This window comes from Homo sapiens, chromosome 2 (genome assembly GCF_000001405.40).
Source record: "Homo sapiens chromosome 2, GRCh38.p14 Primary Assembly".
NCBI lineage: Eukaryota > Metazoa > Chordata > Mammalia > Primates > Hominidae > Homo > Homo sapiens.
In genome coordinates, this window is record NC_000002.12 from 8,265,651 (window position 1) to 8,283,061 (window position 17,411).

General features: G+C 43.8%; 1 long non-coding RNA gene across 2 annotated transcripts in view, besides 3 other annotated features; it reads right to left on the bottom strand.

The window, feature by feature from the left end:
• The window catches only part of LINC00299 (long intergenic non-protein coding RNA 299), a 320,649-nt gene that overhangs the window by 257,880 nt on the left and 45,358 nt on the right, over positions 1-17,411 (bottom strand). The gene's annotated exons all lie outside the window — the stretch shown is intronic.
• Positions 12,081-12,582: an enhancer, noted in NCBI's record as "H3K4me1 hESC enhancer chr2:8417861-8418362 (GRCh37/hg19 assembly coordinates)". NCBI's record gives its function as "activates a minimal SCP1, AML or CMV promoter by ChIP-STARR-seq in naive H9 embryonic stem cells {active_cell/tissue: H9 hESC(naive)}" and the evidence as "EXISTENCE:reporter gene assay evidence [ECO:0000049][PMID:30033119]".
• Positions 12,317-12,366: a silencer, noted in NCBI's record as "silent region_11123". NCBI's record gives its function as "represses an Ori minimal core promoter by ATAC-STARR-seq in GM12878 lymphoblastoid cells {active_cell/tissue: GM12878}" and the evidence as "EXISTENCE:reporter gene assay evidence [ECO:0000049][PMID:35858748]".
• Positions 15,782-16,282: an enhancer, noted in NCBI's record as "H3K4me1 hESC enhancer chr2:8421562-8422062 (GRCh37/hg19 assembly coordinates)". NCBI's record gives its function as "activates a minimal SCP1, AML or CMV promoter by ChIP-STARR-seq in primed H9 embryonic stem cells {active_cell/tissue: H9 hESC(primed)}" and the evidence as "EXISTENCE:reporter gene assay evidence [ECO:0000049][PMID:30033119]".

Here is a 17,411-nt window from a genome sequence, read left to right on the forward strand (position 1 = left end):
ACTCCAGAGCATGGAGGGGGTGGGCAGGATACACCCACATAGCAAAGTGAGATACATTGGAAAGGGAACTTGAAGGGGATGTTGTATAAGAGGGCATTTCAGGGGGGCATGGCTGGAGGAAAGCCCAGATTTTAAACATGTGTTCCTGCTATTATTCAGAGTTTGCACAGCACTTTTAATTACAGGAGAGCCACAAACAAGGAATGCCCATGGGTCGTCATGACTGGTTCCATTTTTAACATGGTGAGAGGTGGGCATGGATGGGTTCATTTTGTGCCAGGAAGGGCGAGCCAAGCTCCCACAGACTTCAGATTTCCAACCTGCTGCATCACATCAGCTGTTTATGCTGCCTCCAGCCTCCCTGAGGACCGAGGCTCAGGAGTTGGCCATGGCCTAGGTCACACTGCCCCCTACACAGATGCCCATCCCCAGGCTGGCTGTGCTAAATATCAGCATGGGAGAGCCAAGCAGGGGCTTCTACTTCCCTAGAAAAAGGCGGGTTGCTACAATAGAACACTCCAACCACTCCCTCCAGATGTAAGAGTTTATAGCCAGACAGGCCTGGGTCTGACCCAGCTCTTCTCTGGGACACAATCACGAAGATGGGAGGATGGACGGATGTTTCAGAAGGTCAGGCTAAGACGTGGTCCAGTAGCCTAGCAGAGGTCCATCAGGTGTCGCCAGTTGCACTGTCACTTGTCCTAAGCTGTGGAGCCTACATTTCTGTCAAAATCCTGGAGCAAGGCTTATTTTCCAAGTAGCTGTTAATGTGGCCAATATCGAATCCCTTCTACATCAGAGTCCCAACCAAAGCATTCCTTTCATCAGCTGGAAGTCAGAAATGTTTTTTTTATTTCCCCCAGGTCATCCAGTTTGGTACAGTGATCATTATTTCCTACCAATTTTGAATTTTGCATTTAATTAATTGACTTTGTCAGTTGGCATGCAACCTTTAAAAAATTTACTGAAATGCCAGCCTTGAAAGAAAAAAAAAATCATTTGATGAATGTAATCAGAGTGTCAGCAAAAGCACAAATGTTCCCATGGGTCTATTACAATACTGGAGGTTCACAACTGATCACTCGAGAATGTGCAAATTCATGCAGCCTGATATTTACTAGCTAAGCAAGTGTCATCTATTCCATGCCTCATGCATGTCCAGAGAGCCACACCTGTGTCCCGGAAACTACCAAAGCCTGAAACTGGTTAAAGTGAGTGAGTAAATAAAAGCAAAAACCACCGAATTTAAAAAATAAAAACAGTGGTAGGCCAAGAACATGGATTTCATCCCACAGAAATGCAGAACTAAACAAGAACCTAAGACCACCCTCTCTTTGCTTACTGCACAGTTGCATGGCAGAAAAGAAAAATATAACCAGAATAGGACGCTGTCAGCAATTGACCTCAGGTGCCATCTGCATATATTCCTGGCACTGCTAATTTGCAATTAACAAGGGCCTTATGTTTTATCGCCTGTAACTTCCTGTCTTCAAGTCTGAGGGAGGGGGTTTAGCAGAAGGGAACATGCAGGTGGGTGGTGAGCCTTCTCAAAAACAAATAATTCTGCTTTTTGATACTGAATCACTGGTATGTAAGCTGCTCTCTCAAGCTAATAAAAGGTCATTCATAGAAGGGAAATGGAATGGTTCCATTATGTCATTGTGTGAAGCAACTCCTCAAAAGCATGGCAGTACATTGCGGAGTTGAGGAGTGAGCCATGCCCCAGGCTGGTGATCTCTGTCCACGCTAGACACAATCCATATTGAAAATCCATGTGGATGTGCAAACTCCTCACCTGTCGGAATAGGCAGAGGAGACTGAAATCTTCGGGAAGCCTGTGGGCCCAGGAGAGTACACAGAATGGATTATAGGTTTGGCCCATCCCTGGCTTCTGATCCTGGATCTGCCACTTACCAGCTATGTGAACTTTGGCAAATGACTTAACTTCTCTGTGCCTCAATTTCCTCATGTATCAAATAGTATTGAAAGCTCATTGTGACAATTAACTAAGATCATTGTGAAGTGTCTGACACAAAATATGTACTTGTAAGGGTGGGTAACTACATGTCAGGCACTTTTGCTAGAACTTTATTTGGTTGTCTCAAAGTTTATGTATCATTTAAAAATATTTCATCCATGTTTTCTTAGAAGAACAAAGCCCTTTATGCCCATTTTACTGAAACAGTAGTGAGATTCTCCATGGCTTCCTCACACTGCTCCAGTGTGGACACAGTCTTGGATGCTGCCGTGGGAACGCTGAGTTTGTCCAACATGGACATGGCCAGCTCTCTAGAACAAATGACTTCACCAGGCAGTCAAGAAGGCATAGGTCACTTCTATATTCCAATTACTATTATCAGAACAGCTCATTGCCTAATTTGACCTTGTTCTTAACAAACAAACAACAACAACAAAGAAAACATTGGAGTGAAAGCTCGAGAGAATTATGTGGTGAATCCAGCTGATCTGTGATGTGAAAGTGAAGAACTGATTGAAAGAAATTAATCTTTTTTTGCTTAACATTGGACAATCTATGTAGCAACAGAGACCTGCTGGAGTTGACAGAAGGCTGATGTAAAGCGACATAGCTAATCAGTAGTAAACTGGGAAATCATAGCCTATTCCAATGCAACAACTAGTTGTTTAATAAAGGCCAAATAAGTAAGAATAGCAACAATAAGGCAAGATGCTAATCATATATTCTACCTCTGTCTAACAGCCAAGTCAGCAGATAAGCAGGGATGCGGAAGGTTTAAGTTAAAGTCTCCATGACACTCAGGAAAATATAACTCCCTCCAAAGCTGGTAGAGAACTGCAGGTGCTTCTGCATCATCCCAAATCCCTGCCACTTACAGAAAGAGCATTTCGTGGTGGTAGTGGCTGGGACACAATTCCCTTGAACACCCACTCCCGGGCCAAGACATCAGGACATGACTCATCTGGAGTGAACAAGGCAATTTTCTGTGGGGAAAACGTGTCTCCACCCCAGATGTTAGCCAAGTTCTGCCTAATTAAGTAAAATTCTGTGAGCCTGCACACGTACCAGCAATGCCTGCACTTTCCCTTTAACAACTGTGGGAAAAAATAACACTGGACAAGGGGGAGAGATTGTGTGCTGGCACATGCGCGAGAATCAAAGGCAATTGGTGAATGTCAATTATTTGTACAAAGGTAATTGGCCAGGAAGTTACCATTAATTATATCTAAGGATTTTATGCTCCACAGAAAGGTCAATGTAATTCAAGATGTACTTATTGATCATCTACCACCACGTACAAGGAGATTCTGAAAAAAAATGTTTGGGGTCAGTATGTGGAAAAATAGGGACTTGTGATGAAAGGAAGTGAACAAAAATGTCAAGGAAAACATATCTTCTCTGATAAGCTTTTAATTTTGTGAGAAAATCTGCAAGGACAACCATTATATAAGATAGAATACATAGGAGTTAAAGAAAAATTAAGGAAACTTTCTATAAAAGAACAGAGAAAGAACTTACTAATTCTCACTGGGAACGAAGTTGGAGGGGCTTCACAGAGACATTTATAAATGATGCCCCTGCTAGCTGTTTTATAAATTATACCCCCTACTAGCAATTATACCCTTACTAGAGAATGTCACAGGAAGATGAAGGCAGAGGCTAGGCTGACACTTCCACAAGTCAAGGAACACGAGATTGCTGGCAAACAACCGTCAGGCGGGAGACGGGCATGGAATAGACTCTTCCTCACGGTCTTCCAAAAAAACCACCCCTGCCAACATCTTGATCTCTGACTTCTGGACTCCATAACTCTGAGATGATAACTTTCTGTTGTTTAAGTGACCCAGTTTATGGTACTTGGTTATGGCAGCCCTAAGACAACATGTTTGCCATTTTGGAAGGCAGTCTCCTAGGGTTCAAGATCTAAGCCAAGGTTCTCCAGAAATTTGCAAGGAGATTCATTGAGGTACAGGAAGAAACTTCTAGGACTTCTAGATATCTCATTAGTTTAAGATTTCAGGAAGAAACTTCTAGGACTTCTAGATAGCTCATTAGTTTAAGATTTCAATTTTAGCTTATGTTTTAAAGCACTATACATTAATGCAATGATATATCATTTATAAATAATTATACATATATAAGATACTTTATTAAAAATACTTTATTGATAGTGATGAAGACTCAAATAAATTGTACAACTGTTAAAAGAGATAAAAGTCTGGATAATCATAGAAAGAAAATGATGACTCATATCTGTAATCCCAGCACTTTGGGAGGCCGAGGTGGGCGGATCACCTGAGGTCAGGAGTTTGACACCAGCCTGGCCAACATGGCAAAACCTCATCTCTACTAAAACTTCAAAAATTACTGGGGCATGGTGACAGATGCCTGTAATCCCAGCTACTTGGGAGGCTGAGGCTGGAGTATTCCTTGAACCCAGGAGGCAGAGGTTGCAGTGAGCTGCGATCGTACCACTATACTCCAGCCTGGGCAACAAGAGCAAAACTCCATCTCCAAAAAAAAAAAAAAAAGGAAAGAAAATAAAAGAAAATGAGATACCTGATTCCCTTAAATTTCTCATGGCTGAAGTACAATCTCCAATGGCATAATAATATGGCTTTAAACTACTGTGATGCGCGTAATCAGAGGAAGGCTTACCTTAGTGGTACTTTACAGTTTCCTGGGTGCTTTCGTGTGGCTAAAGGAAGATGAGGACAATCCATCATCCAAGGACGTTCTATTCTAGTCTTAGGGTAAGGAGCCCAGTGCTGTGGGTGTACACTGCCCTGTGTTTCAAGAACCATATTTTGCCATTTCTCCCCATAGGCCTTTCAAACAGCCAGCACAGAGGAGAGAGTGAACAAATCTGGGGGCTTTTATTAACTAAAAGCCATATTTTTACCCACGCCTTTCTTTCTTCTGCCCAGTCTTATGCCCACTTAGAATGACCGCTTTCCATCGCCTACCTGTCCGGATGCAGACCCTAATTATACTTCCAGGCAGACATCAAGTGCCCTGAGCAGACCTTTCCCTCAGTACCTGAGGGCTCTGTGAACCTCTTTGAACCTATGGGTTAGGATCAAAAAAATGAACCTTTCATGAAGACCTGACTGAACTCTTATTGAATGTATGGTAGGTATCCAGACAACTTCAACTAGAAAACAGCTGTGTTCCTTGAGGCCACAGACAATGGAACATACCATGCTTCTCTGGGGTGAAGCTAAGATGAACCTCATTGATCACATGAAGGGCACTGGAAATTTGAGAGCATTTCTCTTTAGTTGTGGAACACTCTGGACTTTGGTGTCAGATTGACCTAGATTTGAATTCTGGGTCTGACACAAATTTCATGGCCTGGAGCCAGTTACTGCACCTTTCTGAGCCCCAGCTCCCTCACTTGTATGATATAGACAACACTTCCCTTCTCAGGTCCAGGGGGCATTCAGTGAGCTAATGCACAAAAGATCTGGTCCACAGTGACTGCTTAAAAAACATCCAACAAGCGCCTCTGAACCTGTCTCTCATTCTGTTCATTATGCTCATTCCATCTCTCTGGTCTGCTAGCCAATGACCTTCTTCTAAACACAGCAATATTTAGAACACTGCTAGGTATTCTATGGAAGAATAGGTTCTTTTTAAAGGAAGCATAGTTTGAATGAGCCTGCCTTCCTATGGCCCCTTTCTCGGTAGAGTTATTCAATTTAATGATGACTCTGATGACAGACGTAAAAGGTATGTGTCACCCACGTGATTCTAGCATCTTCCTTCATTGTGTCTCAAAAGAGTTGAGGGAGAGCTGGCTCAATCCCCATTTGATATAAATTTGTATTTGATATTTGAAGATGATGGGTTCATTTCTAGCTTCTTCTAAGTGGAACAGCTAATAAGTCAATAATGTCAGGAGGACCAATTAAACAAGATTTATCAATGGCAAGTGTTGGGAGGCTGGCATGGGTAGAGTGGAAGGCAGAGGACAGGAAGTGGGAACTCTGCCTCAGCCAAGAGGAAGTCAAGACTCTATGAAGGAGATCATGGATATCCAAGTCATTACTTCCCTCTGGAGCCATCAGTGGGGTTTGTGGCTCTCTAAGGAAACTTTTCGTGAGCTTTTGCTGGTTAACTCATGACTCTCTGGACATAGATCTTAGCCCTGTGGCTCAGGCCCCGTTTAGCTGGGTATCTCAGGGAAGGCAGCATTCTCGTGGGCCTCTGGGATACATCTAAAAATATTGGATCTGTGATCAAGTCCCTTGACTCTTTGGTACTGACTGTAAGGAGATGGGAAGACATTGAGAGGATGGAGTTTAGTTTGGAACAGCGAGAGACTACATTAAGAAGTGAATAGCAGGACAGGTTGACAGAACGCAAGCAGTGAAGAAAACAGAAAACTCAAAACTGTTGACCAGACCTCACCCATCCAAGGACATCATTCCAGCAATAACCCCTCCCCACAATATGATTCCTTTTCCATCTGCACTAGGACACTCACATCGGCGTCAATACGATATTGCTCCTCTCATCCTGAGAAAGTCTTTTCCCGACACCACTTGCCCCTCCAGCTCTCATCCCTTTCTCTGTTTCCCTTTCAGGAAATCTTCCTGAGAGTGTCTTCTAAACAAAGGGCATCAATCCTCAGCTCCCATCCTCCCTTATGTCTTCAGACCTGCACCCTCTTCACACACTGCAGTTGCCCCTGGCAAGGTGGCCGATAGCCACCATGGAATGCAGTCACAAAAGCAGCAGTTGACATTGTTGACCTCTCCTTACTCCTGGAAACGCTTTGCTCACCTGCCTTCTAGGGCACCACATGCCTTTGCTTTTCTCACTGGATACCCCTTTTCAGTCTCTTTTGCCGATTTTAAATTTCTCCCCCAACATCTTAACATGGTACTTCCCCAGGGCTCAGTCCTTGGAATTCATCTCCCTTCAGTATACATTTGTCTCACCTGGTCTCACGTGCCAAGGATTCTAAAATTGTGTATCTCCACTATGAACCTCTCCAGGAAGCTCTAAATGTGTATAGCCACCTATCTGCTTGATAGCTCTACTTGGATATCTGATAGAAATCTGAAATGTAATCTATCCAAAATTAAGGCTTGATCTTCCACCCCTCACTGTGCCCCACTTGAAGTCTTTTGAGTTAATGGAAATTTATCTTCCAGTTGCTCAGGCCGAAGAGTTTAGATTTAGATTCTCTCTTGACTCCTCTTTTTTCTTCTCGTACTCCAATCTTACCTGCCAGTAAATCACATTGACATTACCTTTAAAACACACTCAGAGTGAAATGCAGGCCTATTTAAAGGAATGTAACATAATTCAGAGTTTCTATGTTACATTATAAACACCAGCATTACCTCAAAGATATTGCAGGTTCAGTTCTAGACGACTGCAATAAAGTTAAGGGCACAATAAAGAGAGTCATACTAATTTTTTACTTTCCCAGTGCATATCAAAGTTATGTAGTCTATTAAGTTTGCTATAATATTATGCCTAAAAATGTACACACCTTAATTTAAGAATACTTTATTTATTGCTAAAAACTGCTAACAATCATCTGAGCCTTCAGTGAGTTGTAATCTTTTTGCTGGTGGATGGTCTTGCCTCAATGTTGATGGCTGCTGACTGATCAGGGTGGTGGTTGCTGAAGGCTGGGGTGGCTGTGGCAATTTCTTAAAATAGACAATGAAGTTTGTCACATCAATTGACTCTCTATCATGAAAGATTTTTCTGTATCAAGTGATGCTGTTTGATAGGATTTTGCCCAGAGTAGAACTTCTTTCAAAATTCGAATCACTTCTCTCAAACTCTGCCACTGCTTTATCAACCCAGTTTATGGAATATTCTGAATCCTTTGTTGTCATTTCAACAATGTTCACAGCACCTTCACAAGGATTAGTTTCCATCTCAAGAAACAACTTTCTCTGCTTATCCATAAGAAGCAACTCCTTATCCACCCAAGTTTCATCATGAGATTGCAGGAATTCAGTCCCATCTTCAGACTCCACTTCTACCTCTTCTGTTATCTTTACCACATCTGCAGTTACTTCCTCCACAGAAGTTTTGAACCCCTCAAAGTCATTCATGAAGATTGGATTCAACTTTTTCCACATTTCTGTTAACGTGGATATCTTAACCTCCTCCCATGAATCACCAATGTTCTAAATGGCATCTAGAATGAGGAATCCTTTCAAGAAGGTTTTCAATTGACTTTGCCCAGATCCATCAGAGAGGAATCACTAGGTACAGCAGCTATAGCCTTACAAAATGTACTCCTTAAATAATATGCCTTCAAAGTCAGAATTACTCCTTAATCCATGGGCTGTAGAATGGATGTTGCGTTAGCAGGCATGAAAACAATATTAATCTCCGTGTACACCTCCATCAGAGCTCTTGGGTGACTAGGTGCATTGTCAATCGACAGTAACATTTTCAAAGGAATCTTTTTTTGTGCTAGGTCTCAACAGTGGGCTTAAAACGTTCAGTAAACCATGCTGTAAACAGAGGTGCTTCATTGTTCCTTTTATAGAGCAGAGGCACAGTCGATCTATCATAATGTTTAAGGACCCTAGGATTTTTGTAATAACAAATGAGCATCATCTTCAACTTGAAAGTCACCGGCTGCATTAGCCTCTAATAAGTCAGCCTGTCCTTTAAAGCTTTAAAGCCAGGCATTGGCTTTTCCTCTACAGCTATGAAAGTCCTGGATAGTTCCTTATTCCAAGAGAAGGCTGTTTCATCTACATTGAAAATCTGTTGTTTAGTGGAGCCCCCTTCATCAGTGATCTTAGCTGGATCTTCTGGATGATTTGCTGCAGCTTCTTCATCAGCACTTGCTGCTTCACCTTGCACTTCATGTTCTGGAGACGGCTTCTTTCATTAAACCTCATTAACCAATCTCCGCTAGCTTCAAGCTTTTCTTCTGCAGCTTCCTCACCTCTCTCAGGCTTCATAGAATTGGAGAGAATTAAGACGTTGCTCTGGATTCGGCTTTGGCTTAAGGGAATGTTGTGGCTGCTCTGGTCTTCTTTCCAGACCACTAAAACTTTTTCAATTTCAGCACTCAACCTCTTTTGCTTTCTTATCATTTCAGTGTTCACTGGAGTAGCACTTTTAATTTTCTTCAAAAACTTTTCCTTTGCATTTGGAACATGGTTAACTGGTGCAAGAAGTTTAGCTTTCAGCCTGCCTCTTCTTTCAACATGCCTTCCTCACTGAGCTTAATCATTTCTAGCTTTTGATTTAAAGTGAGAGACATACAACTCTTCCTTTCACTTGAACACTTAGAGGCCCTTGTAGGGTTATTAATTGGCCTAATTTCAATACCGTTGTGTCTTGGGGAATCGAGAGGCCCTAGGAGAGGGAGAGAGATGAGGTGGCCGGTCAGCAGAGCAGTCAGAACACACATGACATTGATGGATGAAGTTGGTCATCTTATATGGGCCTGGTTTGTGGTGCCCTAAAACAATGTCAATAGCAACATCAAAGGTCACCGATCACAGATCACCATAACATATATAATGATAAATAAAGTTTAAAATATTGCGAGGATTATCAAAATGTAACACAGAGACAAATGTGAGCACACACTGTTGGAAAAAATGGGCCAATAGACATGCTTGACCCAGGGTTGCCACAAACTTTCAATTATTTGTAAAACATGTAATAGCTGGAAAGTTAAATAAGGAAAGCACAATAAAACAAGGAATTCCTGTACATCAGGTTTTTCCAAACGTTGTGCCTGTCACATCTCTCTCCTCCCCTCCTGGGATCCCAAAGTTATAAATGCTAATCCTGTGACTGGGTCCAACAACTCCCTTATAATCTCTTCTGCTATTGTCCCATTCTTATTTTTTTTTTTCTGTGTGCTTCAATCTGGAAATGTAATGACTTGCTTTGAGGAATTCAAGCTCACTTTTCCTGTCTCTGCTGTGTCCACTTTACTATTAAAGCCATCCAATGAATGCTAGATCTTTCCTTTGCAATATGTTAGACATTGTTCTTAAAGTCAGATATTGCCTTTGGCAGTTGTAAAATTCCCATTTGATTCTTTTTTATATAATTCCAATTCTTTGTTGAAATACTCCCTCTCCTCTTCCATGTTGTCTGTCTTTTCATCTCTTTCCTTTAACAAATGGATCACAGTTATTTTGAAGTCTGTCTTCTAACTGCATCCATTTGCTTTCATGGACTGTTTTTTAAACTTTGACTTTTGGTCACTTTTTCCTACTTCTTCTTACATCTAGTAATTTATTATTGTGTAATGTACATTGTGGATGATACAATGCAGAGGCTCTGAATTATGCCTTCTTTGTAATGAGGTAGGGTGTTTTCCTGGAAGGCAGATAAATACCAGTGGGTCATTTTGATCCTGTCAATTCTTGGATTTCAGCTTTCTTAGGGAAGTCTGCTTTGGTTTTGTCGTTAGTCCCTGGGTGACATGGTTTGGCTGTGTCCCCACTCAAATCTCATCTTGAATTGTAGCTCCCATAATTCCCAGATGCAGTGGGAGGGACCCAGTGGGAGGTAATTGAGTCATGAGGAGTGGGTTTTTCCCATGCTGTTCTCTTGATAGTGAATAAGTCTCATGAGATCTGATGGTTTTATTAATGGGAGTTCCCCTGCACACACTCTCTTGACTGCCACCATGTAAGACGTGACTTTGCTCCTCATTCAACTTCCGCCATGATTGTGAGGCCTCTCCAGCCCCTTTCTTTTATAAATTACCCCATTTTGGGTATGTCTTTATTAGCAGCATGAGAGTAGACTAATACAACCGGTTTACTTTTTATTCCTGGGCATGACTTTCTGGGGTTTCATATAAATGTCTGGGGGTGTGTGCCAAAGCTCTTACCTGTAAATGGAAGATACTATCATCTACCATGCATGATTATGATAAAGTTTAATGGACAATAGGATTTGTTCTAAGCACAATACACTGAGGTCTATGCATCTAGTCCTCTATCTTCCACTCCCCATTCCTGGGCAAACATCACCTCTCCCTCCCTGCCAGCTTTCCCATCTGCGACACTGGAGTCCGTTAGGATCATCAAAGAAACTGAGCAAGGCACCTGAGCCCTGTGTTCAGGAGGACCTGAGGACAAGGCCCAGGAAGTTCCTCAGTTTCTCTGAGTCTCAGGTTCTTCATCCAGAAAGTGGCAATAATAATGTCTATTCTGGAATATTGTTACGAAGATGTATTTAAAGCAACTAACATAGTTTCTGGGAAGCAATCAGGTTGCAAATAAGGATATCCATGTTAATGTTCTGACCACCCTACCAAAACAAGATATAGAATCAGGAAACACGGGCATTGCTGTTAGTAACATAAGAACTTCTGTTATTTCTCCTCAGTCCTAAAGATGGTTGTGAATTCAGATCCTATGTCTATGCCTCAGCATTTTCCTGTAGTGAGTGTAAGAAGTATTCATCCCAACTGGCTTTATTCCTAATATTTAGAAACAACTGTGCATAGATAAAGCGGTCTCCTAAGCCTCAGTTTAAGAACCAGAATCATTCTCTGCTTTCAGTTACGAGGAAGCTAAGCTATACGTATAAAAAGAAGAGATTGAAGGATCTGAAAGTGGCCACGTTGCCTCACTGCCCACCCTGCCTCCCCAGCACACACCCAGACTGTCTCCCATCTCCATCGCTAACTTTTGAGAACCGGAACTGAGTGTGTAAGGGACAGAGGGTGGCATCCATCATTTTTATATCAAGATGCCAATATAATCACTTTCTGAAAAATAATTGCAAGCCTAAGTATATTAAAGGTCTCCTTTCAAAGGCTGCATTCACAATATTCCCTGAATTTAACCTAATGGGAACTAAATTGTGTTGTTATTCAAAGAGATTCAAGGACTGATTATTATTTCAGAATATAAGCAACCTTTGGATTAGTTTTGAAAGATACACAGGAAAAATCTTAGGTATGGCAATCCAGCATTAGTGCATTAGTGAGCATCTACTATGAGCTAGATGCTAGGGAATAAAAAATGTAAATGAGAAGTGATTGCAAGATTCCTGCAAGGTGCCGGGCGAAGTAACAATCCCACTGGGCAGTTCTCTCTCCATTTCCCATCCCCATGGGAAGCAGACACACATACCACTCACCATTCCTTCTTCGTGGCGTTCTTTCCTGGTGTGAATCCCAGGCCACGGGAGCACAGAGGAGGAAGTGACCACCGGGGACAAATAGTGGGCAGAGCAGGATGGACTTCAAAGAAGGATATTTTAAAGCTGAGGGATATAATCTGAAAGTGACACTTTTGAAGACTAAGCCAACTGGAGCTTCAGCTTGCTCTCACTTTCATGTCACCCTCAGGACAGGGCTGCCTCTGCCCATCCCTGGTTGCTACCAACAGCACTTTCAGATTTACAAGGGCTGTGTGAGGCTGGTGCTGGCTGGGGAGGAGGAACCCTCAGCTCATCTCAGGGCTCAGACAGGCAACATTCTCAATCACACACAGCAGCCTGCCATCCAGTCCAGAACCGTTCAGGACCAACTTGAAAAAGTGCCTGATTGCGGAAAGCAAGCCCCCAGCACATGCTCCTGGTCCAGGCTGGCACCCTGAGGCCTGGCTCCTGCTGGCCACAGCCTCACCCTCCCACCTCCTCCCGCACCCCAGCTGCCCTCTGCTGCACCACGAGGGTCTGTGGGAGAGAAAACAATCGTTCAGGGAAGATTGAAAACACCCCTCTTGCTTCTTGCCAGAGAATTTGCATTTTTGGAACAGGTTCTTATTTCTTTTTAAGGCTCAGAATGAGAAGCTTTTAGAAAAGCTAAAAATATCTGTTAACGAAGAAGCAAAAGAAAAAAAAAAACTATCCAGCTTTCTCTTCTTTCTGTGCAAAAGGCTCGGCAGCACCCGGAGGTGCAGAGTCAGCTTTTAGATTCTCTCGTGGGCTGAAAGTACTAGGGAGGAAAAGGTGTCATCGAGGCCTGGATCTTTTAGAAACAAAGATACACGGAGATAAAGATAAAAGAAACCCGAGAGCATGCTACAAAATCATAGGAGTTGAAAACCGAAAATGGTCTGTTAGAGTTAACTTAATATAAATTCCTTGTTTTACAACTAAAGAAACTAACATGCAAACAGGTAAGATGGCTTGCCCAGAGGGGAGGCACAGCAGCTGGGACTAGGAGCCCGACTTCCCCACCCCGGCCAGTGCCCCTTCCTTGCCTGGGAAGACCTCCCTCCCACCATCACAGCACTTGGACCTACAACCGTGAAAATGACTTTAGAGGATCTGGTCCAACCACTGCTAATAAGGTCACCAGCCTCAGCAGCAAGCTGCCTTCCATCCAAGCCTGGGTTTCCCAGCAGCCAGGATGAGTTGCCCCAACTCTGCCTCCTGGGGCCAGGCTTCCAGAACTCAGGGAAACACAAAGGCTTCTGATGGAGTTTCCACCTAGGACTTGGCGCATCAGTAAGAAGGTCATGAACTCGTTCAGGATCAGAAGCATTTAATTATTGGTGGACATTAGAGCTAGAAGGACCCTGCCCTCCATTTAAGCGACAGAAACAGAGGCCAAGAAGGGATATGGCTTGTCCAGGGGCACCAGCAGTTCAGTGGGATTCTGCTTTGACAGGGCTGGTCCTGCAGTCCCCTGCTGCCTCTGCCAAGCTTCTCCTTCGTTTGGATTTTTTGTCCTTCGTGTATTCTCCCAATCGATACCCTCTACCAAGTGCCTACTATGTACCAGGCGTGGTTCTAGTGCTAAGGATACAACATAGAGCAAGACAAGATTCCGACCCTGGGGATTTTATGTTCCACAAACCCCACGTGACCCACATCAGCCCATGAGACATGGGACTCCTGCACGGATGTAAGGAGGTTTCCCCACCCTGGCTTCCCCTAGAAAATGCTTTCCTTCAAGTATGTGCATCCTGTCCCATGGCTCCTGATCACCCTACAAGATGAAGCCCAAGTTCAAAGCCTCCATGACTGGTTCTGCCCACCTTTCCCACATTTCTTCCCCCACCCCCACCTGCCAAATTGTGCTGCAGTCACACAGATCCATAAGATCCACCTGGAACTCCTGCGTGGGGCATTGCTCAGCCTGCCACCCACCTGGGGCGCTTTTCTTCCTACTCTTCCTCTCCTACTCTGCGGACCCTCTTCCCAAAGCAAGGCGTGGGCCATTTGCTGCATTCTAATTGCATGTCTGATAGTCTGTGAAGTGCTTTACAGATGCTACATCACCTAACCCCACAGCGTCGCCGAAGAGACCACCGGCTCAGCCTTGCATGCCTGAGAATCACCTGGAGGCGCTGTAAAATATAACGCCCCCAGGTTCCACCCGAGATCCTCATGTATTTGGACTCTGGTGCTTAGGCATTAGAAGCTGTAAATGGTCCCCTTGGGATTTCAATGTGCAGCCAAGACTGAGGACAACTATAGTCTCTCCATTTTGCAAATAAAGAAGAGAGGTGCAAAAAAATTACCAAACATGCCAACATAAATTCATTGATTCCCATTTCTGTTAAAAAAGATAAAAAAGGCTAGGCACTGTGGCTCACACCTGTAATCCCAGCACTTTGGGAGGCCGAGGCAGGTGGATCACCTGAGCTCAGGAGTTCAGGACCAGCCTGGCCAACATGGTGAAACCCCGTCTCTACTAAAAAATACAAAAACTAGCCAGATGTAGTGGCAGGCGCCTGTAATCCCAGCTACTTGGGAGAATTGCTTGAACCTGGGAGGCGGAGGTTGCAGTGAGCTGAGATCGCACCATTGCACTCCAGCCTGGGTGACAAGAACAAAACTCTGTCTCAAAAAAAAAAAAAAAGATAAAAAAAAGCAGTTTATGTGAAAATGGGATTTCTCTCTCAGGTGTCTGCTGTAAGGACCTCCAGTATACGGTGGCCAGATTTAGCAAATAAAAATGCAAGACACCCAGTTACATTTGAATTTCAGATCAATAACAAGTACTTTGTTTGGTATGTCTCAAATATTGGACATACTCATGCTAAAAAATATTTGTTGTTAATCTGAAATTCAAATGTAACTAAGCATCCTGTATTTTATCTGGCAACTCTACTCCGGTAAATCAACACAAACAGAAGACTGAAATAGTCGTATATTATTAGGAGACAAATCCCCAGAAAGTGTTTTCAAGTTGTTATGTAAAATTTGACTCTTGCCTTGACTTTACCTGCATAGTTGTATATTTACTAAAGACTCACAAACAGAATGTCCATAATGCAAAAAATAAAATAAAGACAGGTGAGCTTTCTTTTTTTTTTTTTTTTTTTTTTTTTGAGACAGGGTCTCACTCTGTTGTCCAGGCTGGAGTGCAGTGGCATGATCTCAGCTCACTGCAACCTCTGCCTCTCGGGTTCAGGTGATTCTCATGCTTCAGCCTCCAAGCAGCTGGGATTACAGGTGCCCACGACGACACTCGTGTAATTTTTGTATTTTTAGTAGAGGTAGGGTTTCATCGTGTTAGTCAAGTTGGTCTTGAACTCCTGACCTCAAGTGATCCACCCACCTCAGCCTCCAAAGTGCTGGGATTACAGGCATGAGCCACCGCACCCAGCCCAGGTGAGCTTTCTAGACCTCTGTATGCCTACTCTTTTATGTGCCTAATAATAAATCTCTCAGTTCAGGCTGGCATTGCACTGGAGATTTTTCAGCGCATTTTGTATATGTATATTATCTTTTGGTTCTCACAACCAACATGTAAGAGAAACAGGTTTGGTGCTATTATTCCCCGTTTACAGATGGACAAGCACCGAGAGTGGTAATTATTCAAAGCCACGTGGACCTGGGCAGAACTAGAAGCCACATATTTTAGTATCAATGTTGATTTTTAGAAGATACAGTGCTGCTAAAGGTGAAGGTTCAGTCTTAGGTTTTATTATCTCAGCTCCAAAGTTCACAAATTTAAAAGCAGTAAATGAATGGCTAGCTGAATAATTGAAATAATTTTCAATTCATAAAATCACACCCTCAAGAAAGGCAGGCCTTCAGGAAGCCCATGGTTGTGGCCCTGTGGTTCAGCCAGCCCCACTCAGAAAGGTGAGGAGGGGGCCTGGCTTTCAGCCCCCACCCGAGACTCCGCAACTGTCCACCCGCCTCACCCTTTGCTTGCTGTACTTGCAGCCTGTTTCTTCCTGCCCTGCCCTGCCCTCGAAAACACAGCAGCTCCCCACCTTCCTCTGAGCATAATGCTTCCATACAATTATCGTAACAATTCAGACAATTTCAACAATTTCAAACAAGTATTGAAAACCCCTCAACCCACAATCTTCTGAAACGTCCATATCAGGTATTGGCAAATTGTTACACTGCCTGCACCAAAAATAAACAAGGACAACAGAGACGGAGGAAAATTCCCTTCCTGCTCTTTAAACTCCCACAAGCACCAACAACCTTCAGTGTTAAAACGTATCTTCAGTTTTGTTTCTGAAGTCTCAAGACTTCAAGTGAGGACACGCCCTCCGCCAGCTAGCCGGCCCATCCCTTATCTCGTTCCGCGGGGCAAAGATGAGGAGAGACCGACCCTCTGCTCGCTTCTTCAGCTTTGAGGAGCAGCCACCGAGGCAGCCTCTCAGATGCCACATCACACCCCACGGTGAAACTGTGTCACCTTCTGGCCACTGGGCGGGCCACACAGGAGCTGCGGTGGTCATCCAGTGTTTCAGCCAGGGTGCTCCAGAGGAACAGAATGAATAGGATAGATTATAAATAGAGAAGAGGAGGTTTATTCTGGGAAGTGCCTCACACGGTGGAGGCTGAGAAGTCCCACGATCTGCCGTCTGCAATCTGGAGACCAGGAAAGCTGGGGGTGTGGTTCAGTCTCAGTCCAAAGGCCCAAGAACCAGGAGCACCAGTGTAGGACAGCAGGAAAAGACGGACGTCCCCGCTCTATCCGAGAAAAGAGAACCCCCGCTTCTTCCCCCTTTAAGTTGGGTTCAGGCTGTCAGCAGGCTGACTGATGCCTGCCCACACTGGGGAGGGCAGGTCTTCTTTACTCAGTCTCAGCTCCTCCCAGACACACCCAGAAGTCATGCTTACCAGCTGCCCGGGCATCCCTTAGCCCAATCACGTTGATTCTCAAAATTAACCGTCATATCCAATTATACCTTTTGACCCAGCTGGTTAGCAGAACCAAGCTCAGAGAGCCTCCTGCCTGCCCACCCAAATACAGCCCTAAGGCCAAACAGATGCATGTTTAACTGGAGCCTCAAACTTAGAATGAGAGAAAACAGAAAGGCAAGTAAAAAGTAACTGTTTTGGTCAATAACCCGTGTATTCATCACTTCACTGACAGAGCTTATCGTATGTAAGTTCCTCATGGCAGATGGGCGCGTGGCCTGTGCACGCATGCAGGCCTGCACACTCACATGCACGCACACACACCGGACAGGTTAATCCCCGTATCATTGGCTGCCACGGGTTGCCTAAGAAGCTTAACAGGGCATGTTCTGAC